Raw genomic sequence first — 12,905 nt, 5'->3', positions numbered from 1 at the left:
GAAGGCTCTGACATAATGACCCAATTACTTCTTTTTAGGTCTCACCTCTCAACACCATTGCACTGGGATTCAGTTTTCAACACATGAACTTTTTGGGGGCATATTCAAGCCACAGCACTTCCCATGGCCACAGAGAATCTGGCTCTTGTTCTCTCTCTCCATCATCTTTTTCCACCCGACTCCAGTGCTTCCACTGTGCTCCAGTTTCACTAGTCTTTCTTTAAGGCATCAAGCTCTTTTCTTTTCTTTTTAGAGACAGGGTTCTGCTCTGTCACTGGCTGGAGTGCAGTGCCATGATCATAGCTCACTGTAAGCTCAAAATACTGGGCTCAAGTAATCCTTCTGCCTAAGCCTCCCAAGTAGTTGGGACTACAGGTGCATGGCACCATACTCGGCTAATTTTTAATTTTTTTTTTTTTATAGAGACAGGGTCTCACTATGTTGCCCAGCCTGGTCTCAAACTCCTGACTATAAGTGATCCTCCTGCTTCAGCCTCCCAAAGCACTGGGATTACAGTCATAAGCCACCAAACCCGACTAGCAAGCTCTTATCTATGTTAGGTCTTTTGCATGTATTATTTTTCTGCATGAGATGTTCTCCTCCCTTTCTTCCTGCACAACCTTCAAACTTCAACTTAGCTATTACTGACTATTCATGCCCATTCTAACTCAGGTTCTCCCTATCGTACATAGGACCCTGTACATTTCTTTTACCCTTCTTATTACAGTTTGTGGATATATATTATTTCTAAGATTGTTAAGGTCTGGGTCCTCCACCCGGATAACGGATTCTTAGTAGGTAGAGATTTTGTTTGTTTTGCTTCTGTTGTCTTCTGTTCTATCCCCTAGATGCAGAGTAGGTAGATACTCAGTGTTTCTAGAATGGATGATTTAGCCAAGGGTTTGAAGAGCTTAAAATAATAATTACCAAAAAAGTAATTCCCTGTGTCTGTTTTCTGCTAATGCAGAACACATAAGAAACACCTAATAAATATTTGTTGGTTAATTAATTGGCTAACTAACCTTAGGCTGATATTTTGGGTGGGAAGAAAGGTATCACACCTAGAGGTAGGTTAGGATCAAAGATACCCAGATATAATGACAGTCAAACCTTTTCTTATTGTGATGAAAGTATAAATTATCATAGTGAGGATTAGGTACAAACATTTATAATTACTTTAATGATAGGAGCTCTCACAAGAAAAAGAAAGCAAGATGTGCTACAGCTGAATATTACTGGGCATGGTTATGTTACACGCAATGAGAGGCTATCATTGACTAGAAGGGGCTGTGGACTGAAATCAAACATCTCAGTTTATTCAGCAGGCCTGGAAAAAGAAGGAGAGTAGACGTTAAATGTGAGGGGCATAGAGAAAGCCCTTTCTACTTGGGCAGAAGATGATATTTTATATCTTCAGCAGCAGTCCCAGTTGATAGCCCAATCCAACAGTTATTGATGATAAGCCTCATGCTGTGGTTAAATATTTTGTGGTATAATTAATTTAAATATATCATGGGAAGCTATAGTCTTGGCTTGAGAAACTAAGTTGCATTTACCCTAGGATGCTTGTTAATATTTCAGGACATGTCCAGGTATAGCAGAAGTTTATTTGTACCAAGAGGCCCCATAATAGCCATCATACCGGGGGAAAAGAGAAGTGAGGCTCACAAGTTTGGTTCAAGGTCAGTATCAGCAGGAGGGATAATTAAGTCCCAGACAGCATCTGTCATTCTGATTGTCCCCTAGTCCAGTGGAGCTTAGGGACAATCAGAGGAGTGGACAAAAACAAAGCATAATGTAGAGCACTACTTTGCAATCGACAAAATGACTGGGGACTAATGGGAAGGCGGGCAGGTTGCAATGTGGAGCAAGTGAGAACTCAGAATTGACACAGCAGAACAACCTATAGCTTGGATCAGAGAGGGCACAGGACTGGAGACCAGGCTGCAATAGCATCAAGAAGCCCCTGGTACTTTTGGTGAGCATTGTCCCTCTGATGCTTCTTTGCAGCTTGGGAAGCATTTGCAGCAGTATATTGACCTTGGCAGCAGGAAGGGAGACAGTGCTGTAAGAAACCAAAACAGGAAAGGGGAAGTGCATGCGGAAACAAAGAATACCAGCTTGTGACCACCCAGGAGCGGTCCTGGGCACTTTCAGAACTAATTGGAAGGAATTTATTATGGGTTGAATTGTGTGCCCTGGAAAGATATATTAGAGGCCTAACTGCCAGTACCTCAGAATGTGACCTTATTTGGAAATAAGGTCATTGCAGATGTAATCAAGTTAGGATGAGGCCATTAGGGTGGGCCCCAGTCCGATATTACTGGTGTCCTTATAAGAAGATTAAAATGCCATGTGAAGACAGAGATGCACAGACAATGCCACGTGACTACAGAGGCAGAGACTGGAGTGATGAAGCTGCAAGCCAAGGTGTGCCAAGGATTGGCAACCACTACCAGATGCTAGGAAGAGGCAAGGACGGGGCCTCCTCTACAGGTTTCAGAGGGAATATGGCCCTGCTGACACCTTGATTTCAGACTAGCCTCCAGAACTGTGAGACAATCACTTCCTGTTGGTTTAAGCCACTGGGTTTGTGGTGCTTTGCTCCAGCGGTCCTGGGGAACTAACACAGAATTTCAGGAGAGTTTTTCAGAGTGAATAGGACAGAGTCATTTTGACCCTAATTTTCCCCCATAGATTTGCGAAGTCACAGAAACACAGCTTACATATAAAACTATAAAAATAAACATGCCAAAGAGCTAAGTTTTTATTTGTCGACTTGAATTTGGCCAATGTGCCACTAACTAGTACATTTCATGCAACTTTAAGACCAGCCTGCATCTAATTAAATGAGATAATGTCTGTAAAGCTCTTAAAACAGTACCTGGCACCTAGTTAAGGCTTCAATATATGTTGGATAATGTCAGTAATATTATCATCTGATTATCCTGATCCTCGAGCTCTGAGCTGCTCATCTCCTCTGCATCTAAGATCTGCTGAAAGCTGCTGAGAAAACCTCACACCTAGGCAATCTGGTGTCACTAAAAAGTAAATATCACCAACCTCACCGGAGTCCTTCACCCTGCCTTGGTTTCCCTAGTAAATGCCCTCTCCTATTCACTACGATGTGTTCTAAATTGTGGTTCCTCAAACCTCCACCACCCCCATTTCTCAGCTCATCCCCAGCAGGGCATTCCTAGCACTGAACAAATATAAAACCTTAGAAAAAATATCCCTCAACTGTCACCACTAAACCTATCAACCCGCGTGTACCCACAGCTCTCGTGGATTCCTCCCTGTTATTTGGACAAAAAAGCACTTTTCTAGTCCAGATCGTCATTCTTTATTCTTCCCTCTTCCTCATTCACACTTTCAATCCATAAGCAAATGTTAAGTCTATCTATCAGATAGCTTGCCAAGCCACACATTTTTGCTTCTCTCCATGACCACCAGCTTGGCCCATACAAGCCTCATTGTGTCATTGTTCTGCTTAAACTGTTTCAGTGATTTCCTACTGCCGTACCGATCAAGAAAATCCTTCACATATTTTCAAGACTTCTCTCCAGGCTGGGTCCCTCATAATCCAAGCTCTATCAGCTTTTCTAACCTCACCTCTTACTCTGCTCTGTTCTTCCAACATGCTACACTCTAGGCTAGAGGGTAACTCAAAATACTGTCACTTCCTCATTAAAATAATAACATTCACATAATGCTTACTGTGAACTGGGCATATAGCAACTCATTTATCAGGGCAACAATGAGATTAGTACTATTGCTATCACCATTTAACGATAAGGAAACGGAGGCACAGAAGTTAAGTGATTTGCCCAAAGTACAAGGAAAGTAATGACAAGCCAGGATTTGAACCAAGAGTGCTGGTGGTGCAGTCCTGTTCTGTTCTCTGATCTTGCCTGCATGCCTCTAGACTCCTCCCTCAGTCCCAGCATTCACTACCACCCTTTATATTCGGCCGATTCCTATAATTCCTTCATGACTCAGTATAAACATCCCTTCCTCAGCGTCAGATCTCCTTGCTCTGTCTCATATCTTCCCATCCTCCATATTATAATATTATTAAATATCTATCTCCTCTGCCACATTGTCAGTTTCATGAGGACAGGAAACATATCTGCTCTATTTATAGCCACACCCTCCCTTCTTAGCACATACCTGACAGATAGTAGGTGCTCATTAAGCATTTTTTGATTGAATGAAATAACAAGTAATAACTAATCACCTTGAAGAACGTCTGTGTATATAGAACACATAACATCATACCTGGCACATAACATGGACTTGATAAATATTTATTTGATATTGTGTTCCAGAAATGGCAAGGAATCCAGTTTGACTAGTGTCAAGGGTGTGAAAAGAGCTTTTGGCAAATGGTCGAGCCAAAAGAGGAGGGAGTTCCATGATAGAAGGAAGGGGTTATCAGCAGTATATAATCTTGCAAAGGCAAATATTAGCATTTCAAAATCCCTCCTTCCCAGCCCAAGATGGTTCTAAATTTTTCTTTTAAACACACCATCTAACCGTGTTACAGCAGACTTCAGCAAAGTGTAATTGGTATGCTCATGGGACCTTGGCATAAGAGACTCATGCACTAATGACCAAGGTGAAAATAAAGGTCTACTTGGGTGTGTTTATGTAACACAAACAGCTACCTCCTCCCTACTTAGTAAGGGTCTGATTATCAAAAAAATCTAATCTCTATGAGCACAATAAAAGATTTCCTATTCCTATCTCCTTTGGAGAAAGTAAATTTATTATCCTCAAAAGGCTTCCGGGAACACTGGGTTAATCCCTTTAAAAAGATACATCTGGACACCCTAACTTCATTACAATTCTAGACTTGAATGCTACCAGGTATATTTTTTTTCTTCCCCCAACTGAGTGGTGCCAGGGAGTCTAGAGACAGCAGTCAGCAAACCAGGTTCAAATCATTGTCTCTTTGAGGCTGTGTTTTGGCAGCCCTGGCGACAGCAGACTGAGCCTTCAAGGAGCAGTAAACTTCTTGTCACCCTTGAGTGACCCTCTACGGAAAAACTGGAAAGAGAAGATGATAACTTCCAGGGAAAACAGCCGATTTACCACCTGTGCAAACATGCATCTAACTGGCCTGCCATGAGAGTCCTTGGGAAAGGCTTTGGTAAAACAGCAATTGCCAACATGTGGAGTCAAGCAGCTGCGCTCTATACAGGCCAGAACCACAAATGATTGTGCTATGTGTCAGAAACCACCACCATTACAAAGGTGCTTTATCCCAAACCATTTCGTTAAATCAAATCCCCACCAACTATAGGGTGATGAGTGTATAGGACTCTTGTCATAGGATCAGCGTCTTTGGTCCTATTTTCACACCACAGGAGACATTTATCCCTTTACAACATTCTGATCTATGGCTAGCTGTTAATTATATTTGCCGCCAAGAACCCGTTAATGAAGGGCTATTTCGTGGCCTTTGGCGAAAACCTCAGACTCAGCAACCAAGGAGCTGAAAGCCCTGACCTTAAGGCAATCTCCACACCAGCCTCCTGCCTGATGCATATTTCAAAGGTTTCCAGGTTTTAAAGCATGGATTACCTTTGCAAATGAAAAACTGAACAAGCAGAAGCATTTAATGGCATGTTATTACAGTTCCAATGATTTTGAAAAGGCTGCTCAGTTTAACCAGAGGCAGAATTTTAAATGAACATAGAAATAATTATTCACTGCTTTTTTCATCATTTTCTGTTTATTCTACTAGGATTTAAAATATAGTACATATTGATTCCCACCTAAGGTTTCTTGCCATTATGCATATATCAATCTACTGAAAAATCATGCATATTGATAAAATATTTAATGCTTCAGGGGCATTCAATATTCACCCACCTCCCAAATAGGTTGTTTGTTTTATCTAAATAGGATCTTGCATGGTAATGAAATTTTAAACTCCAGTCAAAAGGTAGAGTTTTATTTTTTCAAATATTTCAAACTTTTCATTTATGAGAAAAATGATGAAAACAGAAAGTAAAAGAAAGCAGTGTTGTCTTCGCCAGTAGAGAGCATTTAATCATTACCTGCCAGGTACGTGGCATTCTACTAGATGCCATTTATCAAAATACATTCATTGTGCACCTATGATCTACTAAGCACTTCCTCAGATGAAAAGATTATAGACATACAGTCTCTGTTCCATACAGTTCAAATCTAGAAGGAGAAACAAGTAGTTACAACATAACGTGGTATTATGGGAGTACAATACATGTTGGCTGTACTAGATGTATAGATGTATAAACGAAGAAATGAATGAATGGGCATGGAAAATTTCAGAACATAATAAAATCAACATGAAGGGCAGGCAATAAATACACAGTATTCAGGCTGGACGCAGTGTCTCATGCCTGTAATCCCAGCACTTTGGGAGGCCGAGGCAGGCAGATCACCTGAGGTCAGGAGTTCAAAATCAGTCTGGCCAACATAGTGAAATTCCATCTCTACTAAAAATACAAAAAAATTAGCGGGGTGTGGTGGTGGGTGCCTGTAATCCCAGCTACTCAGGAGGCTGAGGCAGGAGAATATCTTGAACCCTGGAGGCGGAGGTTGCAGTGAGCTGAGACCACGCCACTGAACTCCTCCAGTCTGAGTGACAGAGCAAGACTCTGTCTCAAAAAAAAAAAAAAAAAAACCCTATAATCTGTAATACCAGCACTTTGGGAGGCCAAGGTGGGTGGATCACCTGAGGTCAGGAGTTCGAGACCAGCCTGCCCAACATGGTGAAACCCTGTCTCTACTAAACATACAAAATTAGCCAGGCATGGTGGCGTGTGCCTGTAATCCCAGCTACTTGGGAGGTCGAAGCTAGAGAATCACTTGAACCCAGGAGGCAGAGGTTACAGTGAGCCAAGATCACGCCACTGCACTCCAGCCTGGACGACAATAGTGAAACCCCATCTCAAAAAATAAATAATAATTAACAAATTCAGTATTCAATAATAATAATAGAGGATGGACTATTTTATTTATTTATTTTTTAGATTTTAGCTCCTACTTAGATGAGAGAGCATGAACTATTTCTCCATTTTAAATGGAGAACATTTCAAGAGGATTCTAAAGACTAAAATCTTTTAGATGTAGGATTACAAAAGAAATGAGAAGCCCTACATTCAATTTACTAATGATGTGTTGGTAAAACCGAACAAACATGAAACACATGATAGTAAAGAACTAAACTGCATAATATAGGAAAAATAAGAGGGATGGAAATCAGATTGTTACACAATGGTATTATTACTCAAGCTCTTATTTTGAAATTATGTCTTCTTTAGATTCAATTATTATGACATTCCCATGTTAATCTCTTCATTGTAACTGCAATTAACCACAGTGTAAGTCACTCCAAGTGAAGGTATTGGAAAGTGGTATAAGGCAAAATTGGGCCAATTCACTCCCTTTGGGCATTCAAAGTGCAATATAATATCAATTTTCACCCCAAAGGGAACAAAACCCTCATTTATCACTCTTTCAGAAGAAAGATTTTAAAAATTATACATCAAACAAAACTTTTCAAAGACTTCTATGTACTCTTAACTCAGTGCCGGGAAAAGAAAGAAAATAAAGATAAGTTTACGCCTAAAAATATGATTAGTTTTTGGTCTAAAGAACTGTGTTACAATTTTATTATTACTTTGCTATGTGACCTTGGTCTTCATTGCCTCCTTAATAAAACAGGAATAATAATCATGCCTACCTACCTGATAATAATGCATGTTTATCAAGTAAAATAACAGTTCTAAAATGTTTGAAAACATTGTAAAAATATTAAAATCCTATATTAGATTTGTTGTACATTTGAATGATAAAGTTCAAATAGGATGGTATTTTTCATCTATAAAGGATGGGATGGCTTTGTTTAGGGAAAGGAAAAGCATATTATAAAGTACATAATCCTCCAACAATCTATGCAATAATAGAAATGAGGTAGTAAAAATATTACAATTTTTTCTCTTTTAACAGATGCATCTATTTCTAGTTCCAGGGTATAGTTAGTTTTCACATTACTCATTTTTTTTTCTTGCTAAACCTTTCATCATATTTTCATAAACATTACCAAGGTTACTTCTTGACTTTGCCTTTAAAATATTATTTTGATTATCAAATCTTATGTGAAAACCTGAAGGAAAAAACCATAAACCTGTTCTTTCCTCTAACAAAACCTGGCCTTGCTTCTGCCGAGAACATCTAGAAGTCGTTAAAAATAGCACAGTTCTTTATTTGGACTCAATTGACTTGTACTTCTGTAGACCTGTCAAAACGTTAAATAATAAATTGTTATCTCTGAATAGATTCGTCTTTGCCCAAGATACAGTTGAAAAACGTGTTTTACATGAGTCATTTAACCGGAATAATCTTCCTTTGGATTACTGGAGTCATTAGGGGGAAAAAAATACAAAATCATGTGAGTAATTTTCCATGTATCTAGGGTTCAATATCTCAAATGTTTCACAGGCCTTCTGCATCACAAGGCAGTTTATTTAAAAATACAGGCACATCCTCCTCTCTGCTTCTCCATGTCACTTCCTCTTTAGCAGCTGAAGGCAGGCCTATCATCGATGAACAGAGTGTCAGCCAATGCCCCTTGTGCTTCTGTGTCATCATTCTAAGATAGGAATGAGCATGAGCATATTTGAAAGGCCCAAGGCAGAGAGCTCTTTTCCTCTTCTCATCATTTTAACAACAACAAGAAACAAAAGTTATTAACAACAGTCAAAACAGCACGGGCACAATGCAAAGGTACAGCCTCTATAGCTACATAGAGCTGCAGCCAAATAGCCACCCACATATTTGCTGCTGTTGCTGGGGAAGAAAGGAAATGTTGCTTTGGTTCAAAGAAGAGGGGAGGGGCTGGGGGTGATGGCTCATGCCTGAAATCCCAGCACTTTGGGAGGCCAACGCAGGCAGATTACTTGAGCTCAGGAGTTGGAAACCAGATGGGTACATCCACCATGGCAACATGGTGAAACCCTGTCTCTACAAATAATTTTTTTTTTAATTAGCTGGGCATGGTGGGACCACCTGTAGTCCCAGCTACACAGGAGGCTGAGGTGGGAGGATTGCTTGAGCCTGGGAGGTCGAGGCTGCAGTGAGCCATGATCATGCCACTGCACTCCAGCCTGGGTGGCACAGTGAGACTGTCTAAAAAAGTTAAAATAAAGAACCATGGAGGAAGATGTGGACACAAACAAGAGAAAGGGGCAGAACACTGTGTTTGACAGGAGTGTTCCAACTGAGAAGATCATTTCTCACCCTCAGTGAGGAGCAGGTGAACCACAGAAACAGATAGGAGAGCGTGTTGTTTGTGACCTCTGCCAGACGTTGCAAAGAGATTAAGGCACTCATCAGGAGGGGCAGTGCCTTGCATGGAGATCTCAAGCTTTGTTTTCTTGGGTGAAGGAACTATTTCAAAAGGAATGCATAGCCAACATTCCTACCATTAGCCTGTCTTGCTATTGTATATTGCATGGCTGTCCTGCTAGGGAAATTTGATCAATATATTAGATTCCTGGCAGAAAGATGCTATCAGACAATGCGTGTATGCCTTGACATAGCTCAATTTCCACCTATCCAAGAAGGTATTGATTTTTCTCTCCCCGAAGTGCACACACACATACTAAGAGCGCTTACAGAGGATGGGGGTTGGGTAGGCACTTAGTCAAGAACAGACAGTTCTGCCATTCCCCAAATGCATTCAAAATACCGTCTGGCTTGGTGGCTTAATATTTGGATGATCTATATAAACTCCTCACATCAGGATTAAATCAATGGCTGATGAGCAAAAACACTCTTTGAATGCTCACTCTTTAAATGTTAAGAACCCTATCAGCTTCAGAAACATTTCAGAAAATGTGGCCCTTCTTGGATTCCTGTTCCAGAGTTACTTCATATGAAATACCATCCTGAAGCTACATCTTTCTAACACAACTGAAATTAATTCTCTGTTACTTGATCACAGCCTTCTTGCCTAATATCTGGAGTCGTGTCAACACTTCCGTTACCACTCCACTGTTTCTTCTCTTGTTTCCATCTGTCTCAAGCTGCTCACAGAACATTTCCAGCTTTTCACCTTCTGGGCTCAAGCTAAGATTATACTTCCTGATCCCCGTGTGGTTGGGTGGGGCCATGTGACCAGTTCTAACCCATGAGCTGTCAGCAGAAGTAATCTGTGTCATTTCTAGGTTGAGCTTTCAGTGGCCAATGAGAGACCTTCCAGAAGTCTCTTCCCTCCAGAAAGGTAACCAGAAATTATCAAAATAGCAGTTGCTCCATCAGCCTGAGAACTTGAGTGATTATGAGGACAAAGTTCATGGCTCACTGTGATGAACTCTTTCTGAGGGAAAAAGTTAAAAGGTAAGAACCAAACTAAGAGAAACTGGTATCAAAATACATAACAAAAAGCTAGTAACTATACATAGAGTCTACAAATCAGTAGAAAAGTGTGCCTCAGATGTAAATAGGTATTTCACAGTAGGAGAAATATAAGTAGTCAATAAATATATTAAAAGATTCTTAACCTCAGGCCGGGCACGGTGGCTCACACCTGTAATTCCAGCACTTTGGGAGGCCGAGGCAGGCGGATCATGAGGCCAGGAGATTGAGACCATCCTGGCTAACACAGTGAAACCTCGTCTCTTCTAAAAATACAAAAAATTAGCTAGGCATGGTGGCACGCATTTGTATCCCAGCTACTCGGGGGAGGCTGAGGCAGGAGAATCTCGAACCTGGGAGGCGGAGGTTGCAGTGAGCCAAGATCGTGCCACTGCACTCCACCCTGGGCCACAAGAGTGAGACTCTGTCTCAAAAAAATAAAAAGATACTTAACTTCAGTTGTAATTTAGAGAAATGAAAATCATAACAACAAGATGCCATTCTTACCTATGAGATAGACAAAAGTTAAAACTTAAAAAGCTTAATAAGTGTAGTCCCAGCTATTCAGGAGGCTGAGGCAGGAGGATTGCTTGAGTGCAGGAGTCTGAGCTATTATTGTGCCACTGCACTCCAGCCTGGAAAATAAAGCAAGACCCTGTCTCTTAAAAACAAACAAAAAAAAGCTTAATAATTTCCAGAACTGGCCAAGCTGTGGGAAAATTGACATTCTCATTCCTGCTGGTATAACCTTATTGGAGGGCAATTAGTAAAAATTTTTTTTTTTTTTTTTGAGATGGAGTCTCACTCTGCCACCTAGGCTGGAGTGCAGTGGCGCGACCTTGGCTCACTGCAACCCCCACCTCCCAGGTTCAAGCGATTCTCCCGCCTCAGCCTCCCGCGTAGCTGGATTTACAGGTGTGCGCCACCACGCCAGGCTAATTTTTTTTTTTTTTTTTGAGACAGAGTCTTGCTCTGTCGCCAGGCTGGAGTGCAGTGATAAGATCTTGGCTCACTGCAACCTCTGCCTTCCAGGTTCAAGCAATTATCCTGCCTCAGCCTCCCAAGTAGCTGGGATTACAGGCTTGTGCCACCACGCCCGGTTAATTTTTATATTTTTAGTAGAGACGAGGTTTCCCCATGTTGGCCAGGCTGGTCTTGAATTCCTGACCTCAGGTTATCTGCCTGCCTTGGCCTCCCAAAGTGCTAGGATTATAGGCATGAGCCACCATGTCCGGGCCCAGCAATATTTTTAAAATATAAATACCTTGACCCAAAAATCTGTTTTTAGTAATCTAAACTATAGAAACATTTACATATAATATTAACAATATTTACTGAACACATGCCATGTGTCAATCCCCATCTAACTGCTTTATTTATATTAATCATTATCCCTGAGAGTTTTCTATTCCTTTTCTACTTTACAGATGAAGAAACAGGATAAGCAACTGGCTTAACTAGGAAGTTGCTATGCAGGGATTCAGATAAAGTGCTCTCTTTACACTAGAGTGTCTGTCTCAGAGAAATATGCATGGGGATTTTCATTGTACCATTATTCATAATCAATAAAAAATGAATAAAATGTAAATGTTCATCAATTTGAGAAATGGTTACAAATGGTAAATTCAGATTATAGACTATTATGCAGTAATTCAAAAGAATGAGCCCAAAAGAATTGAAAACATACAGCCACACAAAAACATGTAGGATGTTCATAGTAGCATTATTCATGATAATCAAAAAGTAGGAACAACCCAATGTCCATCAACTGATGAATGAACAACAAAATGTGGCATATACATACAATGGATATCTATGAGGTATCAAAAGAAATGGAGTACTATTCAGTGCTAGCATATGGATGAACCTTGAAAACATTATGCTTAGTAAAAGAAGTCAGACATAAAAGTCCACATATTGCATGATTCCATTTATATGAAATGTCCAGAGTAGGCAAATCTAGACAGACATGAAGTAGATTAGAGGTTGCCATGGGATTGAAAAGATGGGGGGAATTGGGACTAACTGCTAATAGGTACAGGATGCGATGGTTAACTTTATTGCCAACTTGACTAAGTTAAGTGATGCCAAGTTCTCTGGTAGTGCATTATTTTGGGTTGTATCTGCGAGGGTGTTTCCAGAAGAGAGTAGCATTTGAATCAGTAGACTGAAGGAAGAGGATCTGCCCTCGCTAATGTGGGTGGCCAACATCCAATCCATTGAGGATCCAAATAGACCAAAAAGACAGAGTAAGGCTGAATTCTCTCTCTCCATCTCTGAGTTGTGACATCCATCTTCTCCCATCCTTAGAGATTGGAGCTCCTGGTTCTTGGACCTTTAACCTTTAGATTCTGGGACTTATACCAGCAACACCTCCCCAGCCCTTCCCTGGTTCTCAAGCCTTTGGCCTCACACTAAATTGTTGCTACCCTTCCTGGTTCTCTAACTTTCAGATGGCATATTGTAGGACTTCTTGGCCTCTATGATTGCATGAG

The 12,905-nt window shown here is 40.7% G+C and overlaps 1 annotated feature.

Moving 5' to 3' along the window:
* Window positions 9,170-9,656: a transcriptional cis regulatory region, noted in NCBI's record as "candidate enhancer chr1.10130 targeted for multiplex CRISPR interference". NCBI's record gives its function as "positively regulates XPR1 gene expression with high confidence in K562 cells {active_cell/tissue: K562}" and the evidence as "EXISTENCE:mutant phenotype evidence [ECO:0000015][PMID:30612741]".

Source organism: Homo sapiens, chromosome 1 (assembly GCF_000001405.40).
Source record: "Homo sapiens chromosome 1, GRCh38.p14 Primary Assembly".
NCBI classification, from domain to species: domain Eukaryota; kingdom Metazoa; phylum Chordata; class Mammalia; order Primates; family Hominidae; genus Homo; species Homo sapiens.
This window is presented reverse-complemented; position numbering and strand designations above follow the sequence as displayed.